The sequence below is a fragment of the Homo sapiens genome, chromosome 3 (genome assembly GCF_000001405.40).
Source record: "Homo sapiens chromosome 3, GRCh38.p14 Primary Assembly".
In the NCBI taxonomy this organism is placed as follows: Eukaryota; Metazoa; Chordata; class Mammalia; order Primates; family Hominidae; genus Homo; species Homo sapiens.
In genome coordinates this window covers 170,364,366-170,381,526 of record NC_000003.12, presented here as the reverse complement: position 1 = coordinate 170,381,526, position 17,161 = coordinate 170,364,366, and the positions used below count along the sequence as shown (strand labels likewise).

The window sequence follows — 17,161 nt, the reverse complement described above, 5'->3', positions numbered from 1 at the left end:
CGTGAGGCGGAGGTTGCAATGAGACGAGATCGCGCCACTGCACTCCAGCCTGGGTAACAGAGCAAGACTCTGCCACCAAAAAAAATAAATAAATAATTAAATTCCCATGTCCTAGAATAGTGCATGGCATATAGTTGTTGAATGAAGAAATGAATGAACAAACGAACAAATAAATACCAACTCACCTGGGGTGTAAAAATGAATGTGTCTGAGAAACATGGTCACCTTCCTGCTTTATAACAGGATACCATGACTGTAATTCCATTCCTGATGGTGCATCTGTCTGCAGAAAAACATGGAAGGGAAACATTTATTGAAGTAAAACTGTGAAGGTTAATTTTATGTGTCAACCTGACTGGGCCACTGGGTAAAGACAACTAACATTATTTAAGAGTCATCATGCCACGCACAGTGGTTCACACCTGTATTCCCAGCACTTTGGGAGGCAGAGTGGGGAAGATTCCTTAAGCCGTGGAGTCAGCCTGGGCAACATAGGAAGACCCAGTCTCTTTAAAAAAAAAAAAAAAAAAATTAGCCAGTTGCAGTGGTGTACATCTGTGGTCCCAGCTACTTGGGAGACTGAGGTGGGAGAATCCCTTGAGCCCAGGAAGTTGAGGCTTGCAGTGAACCATGATTGAACCATGATTGCACCACTGCACTCTATCCTGGGCAAGAGTGAGACCCTGTCTCAAGAGTCATCTTCCAATAAGGCAGTCTTCCCTTGAAGAAGCCTGATTATCACCTGAAACTCAGAGACACCCACATGAACTATCCCATCACAAGAACAGTTTCAGTATGCATGCTAACATGGAGTACCAGAAATGACTGCATCAAATTTCATACTTACGAAATCTATTTTATTTATTTATTTTTTTTTTTTTTTTGAGATGGAGTCTCGCTCTGTCACCCAGGCTGGAGTGCAGTGGCGCGATCTTGGCTCACTGCAACCTCCACCTCCCGGGTTCAAGCGATTCTCTGCTTCAGTATCCTGAGTAGCTGGGATTACAGGCACCCACCACCACACCCAGCTAATTTTTTGTATTCTTAGTAGAGATTGGGTTTTGCCATGTTGGCCAGGCTGATCTCAAACTCCTGACCTCAGGTGATCCCTGCTCCTCAGCCTCCCAAAGTGCAGGGATTACAGGCATGAGCCACTGAGCCTGGCCAGAAATCCATTTTAAATAATAGAACTCTATAAAGGTATAGCACTGGAAAATTGATTCTTATTCCTGTACTACAATCGGCTAGACTATACCCTATCCCTACAGTATTTGTTAGCATATTAGCTAGATACCATTCTACAGCAATACTTTGCCAAATTAAATCCAAAACCACATAGTTTGCTAACACTTGTCATTAAACTATATTTCCTAATAAATATAAAAAGGATTTTTTAATACTTAAAGATGAGCTATAACTAAAAATAAAGAAAAATAAGGAGAAAGGTAACTGGTAACTTAATGAACATCTACGGGCTGAGAACTTTATACATCATTCTTAATTCTAACAAATATCCCCCATTAAATAGGTATCATTACCATTTTACAGATGAGAAAACAACTGACGTTCAGAAATTGAAGAGGGGCTCGGTTCAGTGGCTCACACCTGTAATTCCAGCACTGTGGGAGGCCGAGGTGGGTGGATCACCTGAGGTCAGGAGTTCGAGACCAGCATGGCCAACGTGGCAAAACCCCATCTCTATTAAAAACGCAAAACTTAACGAGGCATGGTGGTGCGCTCCTGTAATCCCAGCTACTCGGGAGGCTGAGACAGGAGAATCACTTGAACCCAGGAGATGGAGGGTGCAGTGAGCCAAGATCATGCCACTGCACTCCAGCCTGGGCAACAGAGCAAGAATCGTCTCAAAAAACAAAACAAAACAAAAAAAGAAATTGAAGAGAAAAAAAGAATAAATGATCTGTGGTTACTAACTTCTCCCTTATTTTGGTTTACTTTATTTACACTTTGTCCTCCCTTCATCCCCTACATATTTCCTATTATACGAAATTACCTTGCTTTTGTGGGAAAAGGATACTTAAAAGGGGGGGCAAGACTCACTGGTAAGGGAAAGGGGAAAGAAGGAAAGGAGAGCTGAAATGTGGCATGGTTAAGGTGACCAACAAAAATAGGAAGTTAACAGACAAACCCAGGAAACTGAGGGAGAATGCGATTAGGAACGAGTTAAACAAGGGAAAAAACAAAAAAGAGAGCTGGATATTTCTCTAAACCCTACCTTTAAGAGGTTCCATGGCCAGGCGCAGTGGCTCATGCCTGTAATCCTAGCATTTTGGGAGGCCGAGAAGGGTGGATCACCTGAGGTCAGGAGCAAGACCAGCCTGGCCAACATAGCGAAACCCAGTCTCTACTAAAAATACAAAAATTAGCTGGGCGTGGTGGTACGAGAAGGGTGGATCACCTGAGGTCAGGAGCAAGACCAGCCTGGCCAACACAGCGAAACCCAGTCTCTACTAAAAATACAAAAATTAGCTGGGCATGGTGGTACGCACTTGTAATCCCAGCTACTCGGGAGGCTGAGGCAGGAGACTCACTTGAACCCAGGAGGCGGAGGCTGCAGTAAGCCGAGATTGCACCACCGCACTCCAGCCTGGGCAACTGAGCCAGAATCCATCTCAAGATAAAAAAAATAAATAAATAAATAAATAAATAAATAAATAAAAGAAGCTCCAATTCTGGTCGGGTGCAGCAGCTCATGCCTGTAACTTTGGGAGGCTGAGGGAGGTGGATCACCTGAAGTCAGGAGTTTGAGACCAGCCTGGCCAACATGGAGAAACGCCGTTTCTACAAAAATTAGCTGGACATGGTGGTGAGTGCCTGTAATCCCACCTACTTGGGTGGCCGAGGCAGGAGAATCACTTGAATCCGGGAGGCAGAGGTTGCAGTGAGCTGAGTTCGCGCCACTGCACTCCAACCTGGGTGACAGAGCAAGACTTTGTCTCCAAAAAAAAAAAAAAAGAGAGAGAGAGAGAGTCCAATTCCCAATTCAACAAATTAGGAAAGTAGCAAAGCTGTTTTGCCTGATGTCCCAATATTCCAGTTTGGAACCAAGAAACTAAGGACTGCAAACAGATCTCTGGATGTTAAGCAGTAGTGATTAAAACAAAATCAACTCTAAACTATCCAAACTCTGGTTTGATTACTGAGATCCTACTAATGGAGGAAATCAATGAGAATGAAGAAACCTGGGAGAGATCTGACAAGTAACCCACTGCCCTCAACAAAACAGGCTGAAAACAGAAAGGAAACCGCTCTTAGAATATGTATCTTAAAATCTGATCAGTCAGGAGATGACTTAGGGCCAACTAAAGGACAAAAATAGGCAGGGCACAGTGGCTCACGCCTGTAATCCCAGCACTTTGGGAGGCCAAGGCAGGCAAATCACGAGGTCAGGAGTTCAAGGCCAGCCTGGCCAATATAGTGAAACCCTGTCTTACTAAAAATACAAAAATTAGCCAGGTGTGGTGGTACGCACCTGTAATCCTAGCTACTCAGGAGGCTGAGGCAGGAGAATCGCTTGAACCTGGGAGGTGGAGATTGCAGTGAGCCGAGACGGCGCCATTGCACTCCAGCCTGGGTGACAGAGCAAGACTCTGTCTCAAAAATAAAAAAAGAAAAAAATATGTATGTGGGAGATCTTTATTTTTGTTAAGAATTAGGCCAGGCACAGTGGCTCACACCTGTAATCCCAGCACTTTGGGAGGCCAAGGCGGGTGGATCACGAGATCAGGAGTTCAAGACCAGCCTGGCCAAGATGGTGAAACCCCGTCTCTACTAAAAATACAAAAAAAAAAAATTAGTCGGGTGCGGCAGCAGGCGCCTGTAATCCCAGCTACTCAGGAGGCTGAGGCAGGAGAATCGCTTGAACTCAGAGGGCGGAGGTTGCAGTGAGCCGAGATCGTGCCACTGCACTCCAGCCTGGGTGACAGAGTGAGACTCTGTCTCAAAAAAAAAAAAAAAAAAAAAAAAGAATTATTGAGCAATGAATTTGAAATACTAATAAGACCTCAAAATTATAAGAAAAAAATTAATATTTTTAAAAGATTTAAGAGTTGAATATTCAGTGAAGGTCTCTACATGATATGTAAATGTGGAATTAAAAAAAAAAAAAAAGGCCTGGGCACAGTGGCTCATGCCTATAATCCCAGCACTTTAGGAGGACAGGAGAATCAACCGAAACAGGGGAACAGAGGTTGCAGTGAGCTGAGATCGCTCCACTGCACTCCAGCCTGGGCAACAAAGTGCAACTCCATCTCAAAAAAAAAAAGGAAAACAGAAAACGAAACATCACATTTTGAACTAATATTCAGAATCTGGGCAAATTCCACTGCTTATTTATAAAACAAACTGATCACTTATTTACATAGTTCCTCAGCCTATAGCTTAGTTATAGCAGTAAGAAAGGGAACTGACTTCTGGCAACAGAAATACTAAATGATAGATGCTAAGTGACAGCTGACAGCCTAAGGAGAGAGGAAAATTACAAGATGCAAACACAAAAACTGCTTCAAAAAGCAAGACAATCTGAGTAAAGGCTTTAGCATAGACCGGGGCAAATAATTTAATATATCTCAATTGTCCCCTACCCCAATTCAACAAAGTATGGTAATTAATGTTTAAGAATCTTGAGTTGGCCAGGCGCAACGGCTCACATCTGTGATATTACCTAGCACTTTGGGAGGCCAAAGTGGGCAGACTGCTTCAGCTCAGGAGTTTGAGACTGGCCTGGGCAACAAGGCAAAACCCCATCTCTAATAATAATACAAAAATTAGCCAGGCAAGGTGATGTGTGCCTGTAGTCCCAGCTACTTGGGAGGCTAAGGCAGGAGGATCACTTGAGCCCAGGAAACAGAGGTTGCAGTGAGCTGAGATTGCTCCATGGCACTCCAGCCTGGGTGACAGAGCCAGACCCTGTCTCGTTAAAAAAATAAAAACTCTTGAGTCAACGTGACATAGCTAAATTATGTTCTGTATACCACTTAGATTCAAAACTTTTTCAGACATTTTACAATTCATGAAAACAGTTTTTTAAAAAAACACAATGCTTTTAAAAAGTAGCTTAACGGGTAGAACATTTTGCACCCCAGCTCTACATGACCAAAGAGGTGTCAATGAACGAGGATAAGTTCATTCTAACAAATCAGTAAAATTTAAGATCAGTTTGAGGGCAGGAACAGTGGCTCACACCTGTAATCCCAGCACTCTGGGAGGCCGAGGTGGGTGGATCATTTGAGGTCCGGAGTTCGAAACCAGCCTGACCAAATGGTGAAACCCCATCTCTAATAAGAAAAAAAAAATTAGCTGGGCATGGTGGTGCATCCCTGTAATCCCAGCTACTCGGGAGGCTGAGGCAGGAGAATCACTTGAACCCAGGAGGTGGAGGTTGCAGTGAGCTGAGATTGCGCCACTGCGCTCCAGCCTGGGCAAGACAGTGAAACTCCGTCTCAAAAAAAAAAAAAAAAAAAAAAAGGAAAATCAGCTTGAATTAAATGAGAATTTCTTTTCTAGACATCATTTGTTAAAAAACAAAGAAAGCTCCTCTTTAAATAAGTGTTATATCTGAAAGAATTCTAGATGTACTGCCCAAGAAATCAATTGTTTCCAGATTTTTTAAATTAAAACTACTAAAATTGGCCCTACCCAGTGGCTCACACCTATAGCCCCGGAATTTTAGGAGGCCAAGGCACAAGGACTGCTTGAGTCCAGCAGTTCGAAACCAGCCTGGACAACATAGAGAGACCCCCATCTCTACAAAAAAAATTGTTTTTAATTGGCCAGCCGTGGTGACGCATGCCTGTAGTCTCAGCTACTCAGGGGACTGAGGTGGGAGAATCAGTTGAAGCTGGCAGGTTTGAGGTTGCTGTGAGCTATGATCCTGCCACTGCACTGCAGCCTAGGCAACAGTGTGGGGCTTGTCTCGAAAAAAGAAAAAGAAAAAAATATAAAATTACTAAAATTGATTTATATATTTCAAAGTTTTTCCTATAATGAATACTGGAATCTCAAATCTTCAGAATATCAAGCAAATTCTAAATTTGCTCAAAGACCTTGACTTGAAATCTGACTCAATTTTGATCAAGTTCATTTCAAAACCCTACAGTTTGATTTATAAGAGTAAGTTTTATCTTTACTCATGAGCCAAACCTAGCATCTATTTATTTCTGTGTCTCTAAACTTCAGGTGCCACCTTAAATAACTGCTAGCACATTCCTTTATTTTTAAACAGTCATCCCTCTTAGCTCCTATTCTTTATTTTATTTCCTAGTCTTGACCAACCCAGTAAGAGTCAGACTAGAGCTTCTAAGGAATCTTAAAGATCACCTAGCATAGTCCCCTAGCCAATGTCTGAATTCCCTATTTAAAATCCCTGTTAAGTGGCTACGCAGCCTCTGCTTAAACAGCAGCTTGAGGTCAAGAACCAGCCTTACCTTTGTATTTTTAATACCTAGCACTATATGCCTAGCATGTAGTAGGGACTCATCTATCAAATATCTATTATTTGTTGAATGAATTCTGAATGACAGTGCAGCTCATTAATTCCCAAGGTAGCCTTTTACAAGGTTATTCTGCTACCACAAAACTCTTGGTCTCTTTCACGTTTGATATCCCTCTACTCCATGAAGCACCAAGGAAGCCCAACAGTTTCTAAGGCTGCATTTTTCAGAGATATAAATTAAACAATACAAATGATGGGGACACGCACAACACTAACCATGATAAAATGTTGCAAGCTAATTTTACCTAATATGCTGTGGTAAGCCATAAACACATTTATAACAAATTATCCTAACTGTATGTTAAAAACAATTAAGAAAAGCACAATGTTTATGATACAACAAAACATTCAGAGGCATGCCAGATTTTCTCATCTATTCTGCATTTGTGTCAACATACAAATTAGGTTTTCAAAAAAAGAACAATATAATTAAATGGTTCAGCAGTAATGCTACTAATCAGGAATAAAAATTAGATACCAAATTATGAGTATCTACTGCCTGGTATCTTACCTTTCAACATAGGAATCATTTATTTTTATGTGTATTTAAATTTTAAAATACAATACATTATATAACTTGCCAAAGAAGTGGATCATTTAGTAGCTTAAGTTAGAGCCTTAACATTTCAAAATGCTCTTATCACCCAATTTCCCCATCATTATTTACCCCAAAATGAACAGATAGCATCCTCATTTCAAACACATAAGCAAAATTTCAGACACAAAAATTTCATTCCAAAGGTTCTTTCCTCTTAGGTCATAAAACTCCAAATGTCTATGAATGTACAATTTAAACAATTCCAAAATATACAGTAAAAAAATATAAAATAAGTAAAAACTAAGAAACATTTTATGAAAGTTTCTCTAAATTTCTGCACCTTCCTATGCTTATTCTGTATACGTGACCCTTTGATAATCAGATTTCCTAATGAAGAACCACTCTATTTTAGTGATACGATGCTAATCAGTCTCATAATGAAAAATAATTTAGAGAGCTTGATTTCATTTACAAAAAACTTCTTGTCACTCCTTTCTAAATACAAAAGCTATTCCACCTGCTCAGCATTATTCATACAAGTATTCGAATTTGTACCAAAAAAAACCCTTTAAAATTCTTAGACATTTTTTTTTTCCCTTGAGACAGGGTCTTGCTCTGGGGAACAGTGGTATAATTATAGCTCACTGCATCCTCCAACTCCTGGGCTCAAGGGATCCTCGTGCCTCAGCCTCCAGAGTAGTCAGGACTATTGGCCCATGCCACCAAGCCTGACTAATTTTTTTTTAATTTTTTTTGTAGAGACAGGGGTTGCACTATGTTGCCCAAGCTGGAACTTATTTTCAAATACTAAATCTTGCTTTTAGGTGGCACTCTAATTTTTAATTACAGCATCAGATTACTATTTTGATCTTTAATTAAGTCCTAATGACAAACATTAATGAACTAAAGAAACCAAGATAATGCCTCAAAACACTAGTGGGAATTCCAAAATTCCAACAAAAATCAGAATTAAGCCTTTTTACAAATATATGAGCCGGAAGGCCAGGCACAGTGACTCACACCTGTAATCCCAGCACTTTGGGAGGCCAAGGCGGAGGATCACCTGAGGTCAGGAGTTCAAGACCAGCCCGGCCAACATGGTGAAACCCTGTCTCTACTAAAAATATAAAATTAGCCAGGCATAAAGGCTGGGCACGGTGGCTCATGCCTGTAATCCCAGCTACTTAGGAGGCTGAGGCAGAAGAATCGCTTGAACCCAGGAGGTGGAGGGTGTAGTGAGCCGAGATCACACCACTGTACTCCAGCCTGGGCGACATAGCAAGACTATCTAAAAAATAAAAATAAATAAAAAAATTAGCCGGGCCTGGTGGTGCACGCCTGTAGTCCCAGCTACCGAGGGGGCTGCAACAAGAGAATCGCTTGAACCTGGGATGTGGAGGTTGTCGAGGTTGCTGTGAGCCGAGATCACGCCACTGAACTCCAGCCTGGGCGACAGAGTGAGACTCCGTCTCAAAAAAAAAAAAAAAAATTGAAAATTATTTCTAAAAACAGAATTTTTAAAGTGCTATAAGTGATAAAGATTAATTTTTAAATTTGTGTTCATAAGACAGAAGCAGTAGTGTAGGTTGGTAAATTTAATAGTCTATCTCCCTAATGGCCTATTTACACAAGAAATAAAATATAATGCATATGAAATGCACATTACTTTGTTCTGACCCAAAATAAATCATTAGCAACCTTACTAAACATATGACTGGATACACAGGAAGTGAATATATCTCATCAGGGTCTTTTTGCTGTGTATAATACTAAGACATTCAAGTGGTCAATAAATGATTTCAGAAGTATAAAGACACCCTACCAGATAGCTGCCAACAACTCTTACCAAAAGAAACAGAATCCCTCAGTACACTATCAGGTTTCCTTAATATTTCCAACATGTTGTGAGTTAGTGTTTCAATAAATGAAACAGAACAGTGTTACAAGGTAGCAAATAGCTACTTAGAGATTTCAAGGCTTAGTCTTGGGCCTCACTTCTCTGTAATCAATAGAATTGATCAAATTAATGCAAAACTGGGACAGTATGATCTAAGCATCTGCACTAACTGATCAAAAACAGATCGTCAGGAGTCACAGCAATGGCAGCTGTTTCCACAGGCTGAAAGATCATACCACCTACCTCACAAAGCCAATTTTAGGTTTGAGATACTTAAAAATGCTCACAGAAAATGCAAAGGCTCGAGTTCTTGTAATATTTTGCAACTATTATTTTGAGTCCTTAATGGAAACAAAGCCATGTAAAGTTGGTAATATAACATCCCCTTTAGAACTTGAAGAAAAATACACTGATAAAAATCCTGTTAATCCTGTGACATTTTATACTGAAGGTCTGTGATGCCCAATAAACTTAATACTGCAACTACATGGAAATCTCAGTGTCATACACATTATTTTCCACTATTTGTCAAAAATTTTAATCTGTATAATTCTAAGGCTTTACTTTTCTATCTCATTTTAGCATATATGCTTAACAATTTACAGTCCTGGATTATTCTGGCCTTCAAATAATGTAAACTGGCAATTTCAAAACAGAGATTGATTAATCTTCCTATGTGCAATGTCCTCTATTTTCCATTTTATTCTACTTCAGGTTTTTATGTTTTTTAATGCTGGTGACCCACTAAATTGATTTCATGACCCTCCTGGCGGTTTTCAATTGAGGTTCTCAGGAGAATTTAAAATGCCCCAAGGCATCCATTGTATGTAATGAATTACCTTCTCTCCAGTGCATTTAGAATGGTACCAGTACGATCACTGGGAGAAATGACAAAACCAGCACTCAATTCATTTTCTGTAGTGCTTAAATCTCCCCTTATGGAACCCTGCTTGAGATGGCTACATGAATGACAAATTGCAGTTAGAAAAACACTGCTCTAAATGAACTGTCTTAAAATTGGTCCAAAAGTATTATTCCAGTAACTACTCCTTTTGTTTTTCTTTTTCTTTTTTTGAGACAGAGTCTCACTCTGTTGCCCAGGCTGGAGTGCAGTAGCACGATCTCCGCTCATTGCAACCTCCGATTCCTGGATTCAAGCAATTCTCCTGCCTCAGCCTCCCAAGTAGCTCTAATTACAGGCGTGTGCCACCATGCCCAGCTATTTTTTTTATTATTATTTTTAGTAGAGATGGGGTTTCACCATGTTGGCCAGGCTGGTCTCGAACTCCTGACCTCAAATCATCTGTCTGCCTTGGCCTCCCAAAGTGCTGGGATTACAGGCGTTAGCCACCGCACCAGGCCTACTACTCCTTTATTAATACTTATGCACTCTAGAAATGCTTTTGCACAAACACAGTTACAATTACATACGCAAATGAATAAATTCCAGAGGCAGTTATCACATGGTGCAATTATGAGGAAATTGTGTTTTCTTCTTTGTACTTTTTTAGTATTTACTACAATGGGCCTATATTGTTTTCATAATCACACAAAAAAATTTAACATAGACTATAAAAAGCATAGAAGTCTTAAATCATTTTTATTAAGTTTTGTTTTGTCTTGTTTTTTTTGAGAAAAACAGGGTCTTGCTCTGTTGCCCAAGCTTGGAGTGCAGAGGTGCCATCACAGCTCACTGCGGTCTCAACCTCCCCAACTCAAGCGATACTCCCATCTCAGCCCCACAAGTAGTTGGGACTACAGGCATGCCCCACCAAGCCCAGCTAATTGTTTTTTTCAATCTTTTGTAAAGACAGGGTCAAACTATGTTACCCAAACTTTTAGTAAGTTTCTTAAGCTTTTTAATTCCTTGTTCCCATAAAAAATGCAAAATATGTACTTTTAATGCCATTTGAAATCTCAGAATAAATTCAACATCACAAATAAAAACGAAATGCTGGTTTGTTTTAAAACTAAACCTGTTTCCCTCTTCGAGAATCACTGGTAACTTTATAGGGCCACTTAGACTTCACTGTTATCCAAACCTTTATTAGGCATCTACCACATTCTAGATTCGAAGACTGTAAGATATAAGAAGACTGTAAGACTATAAGATGAACTCCTGCTCGGGGGGGGGGGGGGGGCTCTCTCTCTCTCTCTCTGTATATATACATATATATGTATATATAGAAATATTACATATTTCTATGATCCACTCTTAAGTCTAGAAGTCATGAAATCAAAAGGACTCAAACTAATTTTATATCTTTCCTATTCATTCTTTCTGCCTAATATAATGAGTTAGTGATTGAAGCAAACCACATTTTATTTTATTTTATTTTTTTGAGACGGAGTCTCACTCTGTCTCCCAGGCTGGAGTGCAGTGGCGCGATCTCGGCTCACTGCAAGCTCCGCCTCCCGGGTTTACGCCATTCTCCTGCCTCAGCCTCCCGAGTAGCTGGGACTACAGGCGCCTGCCACCGCGCCCGGCTAATTTTTTGTATTTTTAGTAGAGACGGGGTTTCACCATGTTAGCCAGGATGGTCTCGATCTCCTGACCTCATGATCCGCCCGTCTCAGCCTCCCAAAAGTGCTGGGACTACAGGCGTGAGCCACCGCGCGCAGCCGGAAGCAAATCACATCTTACAACAAGATGCATTGTTTATATATTCTTTTGCTTTCTAGAGTCTAATAAAATCCTTATTTTATGTAATATGAATCCCAGTAGAATAAAATTCTATATGTGAACAAAATACAGATTCAAGCTATTACCAAAGCTATTCTCAAACAAGTTCTACCCCTTTACTAGGAACAAACTGAATTCTAGCTCGACAATCACTTTCCACTCCCAGAATTCTAAAGGGATTAAAATTAGCCCAATTCGCTGGGTGCGGTGGCTCACGCCTGTAATCCCAGCACTTTGGGAGGCTGAGACAGGCAGATCACCTGAGGTACGGAGTTCGAGATCAGCCTGACCAATATGGTGAAACCACATCTCTACAAAAAATACAAAAATTAGCCAGCTATGGTGGCACATGACTGTAATTCCAGCTACTAGGGAGGCTGAGGCATGAGAATCACTTGAACCCAGGAGGCGGAGGTTGCAGTGAGCCGAGATTGCCTTATTGCACTCCAGCCTGAGCTACAAGAGCAAAACTCCTTATCAAAAAAAAAATTAGCCCAATTCTTGATTACTTCTTTGGTTTCCCAGTGGCATAATTGATAACATATGCACTGCTACGAGAAAACTACTGGCTGACTATGATGATCCAGGCCTACTCTGAAAACACGGCCATCTCTTTTTTGTTTTTCTTCTTTAAAGTTTCTAAGTTTTTTCCCATTTCTCAAACAAAAAGGATAAATTTCTAACTTTCAAAAATCATATGCTAACAATTCTATTTTTTAATAATAAAAATAAAGAGGCTCTATTTCCTAAACCACAGGGGGCACTATTTGCAAAGCCACTCTACAGATTTCAAAAAAAAAAAAAAAAAAAAAAAATGCCAGGGATAGGGAGGGTCCACATATCCTGTTATTAACAGAATGAGCTCCAAAAACTTGATTACTCTGAAGTTATTATAAAAGTCGTTTTGTAAAAAATGAGAAAGGCACTAAACAAAACCTTATCCAATCTAAGCAGGTCTGTATTGGTCTCCATCATTCAAAACCCCAATGTGGTATCAACCGAATAAATGGAATGGGCACTATCTCCAATCAATGTATCTTTTTGGGTAACAAGTCGAAAATAATGAAATAATTCAGAAAATGCTTCTATAATAAAAAAACTGTTTCACACTTTCTTCTTGCACACTTCATTTTAGTAAGCAAATATCCAACTACTGTAATTACTGTGTAAAAAAAACTATAAATGAGATACATTTGAACCCAACATTCAGTTATCTTGTTTGTCTCAGAAATATAATTCTAGATAAGAAAATGAGGAAAGGAGGACTCCTCAAATACATAATATTTCAATAGTAGTTTGAAATACCATCCTACATTTCTGCAGTAAAGGCTCTTAACTTCCAAAATGCTCATTCTCTTGTTTGATGAATTATATTAACAGTTTATGTGCAAATTGTATCTGTTTAAAGGTTAAGCCATCTTTAAAAGAAAATCCAAATATTCTAAAATATAGTTTAGTGTTATTTTTCAAAAATCTATTCAGTTAAAAAAAGAAAAATTTAATTGAGTGCCTTTGACATGCCAGGCTTTGAACTCGGTTCCAAAAAAATAGAAAAAATACTCTGTAAACTAGTGGGAACAGTTACTAATTTTAGAAAGTTAGACAAAAGTATTCATAATGGTCCCTCATATGAGCACAAATACTTCATCTGACTCTCAACTTATCCCCACTTGATCAAAAATTTTGCTAATTGCAAAATATAATCTGTATCACTGGGGTAGCAAATCACCATCAAATCCACCACAATTATTACTAGATCACATTCTGTCCCAACACAACTCTTTGTAGTTGCCCATTCTACTGTTCCTTATCTCAATTAGGTTTATACTGACAAATACGCTGCCTAATACAAGTATAATTAAAAGCTTGCAAGAGGGGAGAAATATTTTGTACTATTATTACTCCAATGATCTCTACAGAAATGAAGAAGTGAAACGAAAATGCAAAATTAAACTCTCAAACGGCTAATACGCTTTCAGGGAAAAAAAATTTTTTAAGTTGCTATCTTTAGGTCATCTGTTTGTATCATAAGTAATCTATAGAGATTTTTCCCCCCTAAGTAGATTAAAAACTAAAATATTTTACTTACCTAAGAGTAGTCCAGTCTAAATGTTAAAAGTTTAAATTTTAGCCAGGCACGGTGGCTCACGCCTGTAATCCCAGCACTTTGGGAGACTGAGGCTGGTGGATTGCCTGAGATCAGGAGTTCGAGACCAGCCTGGCCAACATAGTGAAACCCCCATCTCTACTAAAAATACAAAAAATTAGCTGGGTGTGGTGGCAGGCACCTGTAATCCCAGCTACTAGGGACACTGAGGCAGGAGAATTGCTTGAACCTGGGAGGCGGAAGTTGCAGTGAGCCAAGATTGCGCCATTGCACTCCAGCCTGGGCAACAAGGGCGAAACTCCATCTCAATTTAAAAAAAAAAAAAAAGGGTATATATAGTTCTTAACTTAGTAAAGTGGAGACTGTCAGCCACATGCTACAATAGGGAAGAATCGGCCAGGCGCAGTGGCTCACGCCTGTAATCCTAGCACTTTGGGAGGATGACGACGTCAGGAGATCGAGACCATCCTGGCTAACACGGTGAAACCCCGTCTCTACTAAAAAAATAGAAAAAATTAGCCAGGCGTGGTGATGGGTACCTGTAGTCCCAGCTACTCAGGGGGCTGAGGCAGGAGAATGGCGTGAACCTGGGAGGTGGAGTTTGCAGTGAGCTGACATCGCGCCACTGCACTCCAGCCTGGTCAACAGAGCGAGACTCTCGTCTCAAAAAAAACAAACAAACAAACAAAAAAAGTGAAGAATCACCTACAACAAATGACCACTTCCAATATGTTTGAAAATAATCTTAAGTAAACATTACTCTTCAAATTTTATTTACAAATGATTAATTTGCCTGTTGATCTTTTTTTCATACAAACGTAATATTCAACAAAATTAGAATTAGATCAAATTTATTTTAATTTTCTATTTTTGTTTACATATATTTGATCTACTTCTGATTTTGCTGAATATCCACTGAAGATGTGAAAAAGAATCAGGAATGTGATGTTTGCATGTATTTATACAGTTTAAAGTAAAATAATGATTATTCCAATAAAAAACACAAAAAGCTCGTATCAGGTAAGTAACTTGACAACATTCTGTAGAACAACATAGGCAGATCTAAAATCAAGTATGTGTGTGTGTGTGTGTGTCTGTGTGTGTGTGTGTGTGTGTGTTTTGAGACAGAGTTTCACTCTGTCACCCAGGATGAAGGGCAGTGTGAACTCGGCTCACTGAAACCTCCACCTCCTGGGTTCAAGCCTGCCTCAGCCTCCCAAGTAGCTGGGATTACAGGCGTGTGTCACCATCCCCTGCTAACTTTTGTATTTTCAGTAGAGATGGCGTTTCACCATATTGGCCAGGCTGGTCCCGAACCCCTGACCTCAGGTGATCCACCCAACTCAGCCTCCCAAAGTGCTGGGATTACAGGCATGAGCCACCGCGCCTGGCCTAAAATCAAGTATATTTCTTATGGCGACTTGAGTAAGAAAGAGTTATTAGCTATATTTAATTAAGTTGTCTCATTTCAAATTATTTATAATTTACAAGATACTACAACTTATTAACATTAAAATGTATTAATATATTACATATTTTATAATTGTAAAATAATTAAGTTGTTTCATTTCGAACAACTTACTGAGTTTCAGGACTTTTTTTAATCCAAAAGCAATACTTTGATTACATAAACTATATACGCATGTCAAATCATGTCAGTATTCACACCAAACATCAGGTCCTTTACATAACACGTTAATATATTTAGTACAGTCTTAAAAAAAAAAAAAAAAAAGGCCAGGCGCAATGGCTCATGCCTGTAATCCCAGCACTTTGGGAGGCCGAGGCAGGTGGATCATCTGAGGTCAGGAGTTCAAGATCAGCCTGGCCAGCATGGTGAAACCCCGTCTGGACTAAAAATAAAAAAATTAGCTGGGTATGGTGGCAGACGCCTGTAATTGCAGCTACTTGGGAGGCTGAGGCAGGAGAATCGCTTGAATCCAGGAGGCGGAGGTTGCAGTGAGCCAAGATCGCGCCATTGCACTCCAGCCTGGGCGCAAGAGCGAAACTCCATCTCAAAAAAAAAAAAAAAAAAAAAGCCTAGTTTGACTTTTTAAAATGAGCTCCCTCTGGGTCAATTTGGCTTGTTTGGCAACCAACTCAATGACTCACAGAAGAAAATAAAAACTGTTCCTCAGTCAAGGACTATCTCATTCTCAGTTAAATACCTTAGTATTTAAATTTATATGCAGGTTAAAACAGAGTTTGAGAACCATCATAGAGGCTGAATATCCCTTATCAGAAATGCTTGGGACCAAAAGTATTTTGAATTTCTGATTTTTTCAGATTCTGGAATATGTGCACGATATGGCAGTTGAGCATCCCAAATCCAAAAATCAAAATCTGAAATACTCCAATGAGCATTTCCTGTGAGTGCCATGTCAGCATTCAAAAAGTTTTGGCCTTTAGAGCATTTCAGATTTTGGATTTGGGATGCTCAACCTGTACTAAGGTAAATTGATAAGAAAAGTTAATGTTTCTCAAAATTCAGTTTCTGCTACTAACATGTGCTTCAGGGGCAAATAGTGAAAAATTACTAAACTTCGAGTTAGAAGCCCTGTATTCAACTCCTGATTCTGGTTATACAACCAGGAGCATGTGACTCATCTAAGAGGTGGAAATATTGTCATTCACCTTCCTCACAGACCCTAAAAAATAAGTGTACTTCACAATGTTCTGAGTACGTTTTTAAAACGTGAAGTGGTAAGCATAATAAAACAACCACTCAAGTACGTATTAAATATGAACCAAAGAAAAGAATCTTTCTTAAAGTATGGGTGTTTGAAATTTTCTTAAATTCCTTTAAATTTCTCAAATTCACATAAAATTACAAGCAATATCAAAATACACCACAAACACTAATTCAAATACTGCAAAATATAACACAGCAAAAAGATCAGAAAGAAACTCACACCTTCCTAAAATCGAAAATGTATTCAAATCAGTGAATTCTGGGACAAAAAGGGATTACATCCCAGACGAAGGATGGTTTCAGTGTTAACCAAACCTCAGCACATTGTTTCAGTTAAGTAAATTAATCCATCATCTTTTTTTTTTTAAACCTTTATCATGGTTCTCAGATGTTTTTCACATAAACACAGAGCAAGAATATTAGGAAAAGTAGTTTATCCAAAATACACTTATGTCAGACTAATAATTAGACTGGGGCGGGCCAGGCGCCATGGCTCATGCCTGTAATCCCAGCAATTGAGAGGACGAGGAGGTCGGATCACCTCAGGTCAGGAGTTAAGACCAGCCGGCTAGGCTGTAAAATCCCATCTCTACTAAAAATACAAAAAACAAGCTAGGCATGGTGGTGGGCACCTGTAACCCCGGCTACTTGGGAGGCTGAGACAGGAGAATCACTTGAATCTGGGAGGTGGAGATTGCAGTGAACTGAGATCGCGCCATTGTACTCCAGCCTG

General features: G+C 39.6%; 1 protein-coding gene across 6 annotated transcripts in view; it reads right to left on the bottom strand.

Moving 5' to 3' along the window:
• Positions 1-17,161, bottom strand: part of SKIL (SKI like proto-oncogene) — a 39,135-nt gene that overhangs the window by 15,323 nt on the left and 6,651 nt on the right. For all 6 annotated transcript variants that reach the window (XM_005247721.2, XM_006713735.2, NM_005414.5 and 3 more), the window contains one exon: positions 186-283. In XM_005247721.2, the coding sequence (XP_005247778.1) occupies positions 186-283 (98 nt within the window). The remainder of the gene's footprint in view (positions 1-185; positions 284-17,161) is intronic.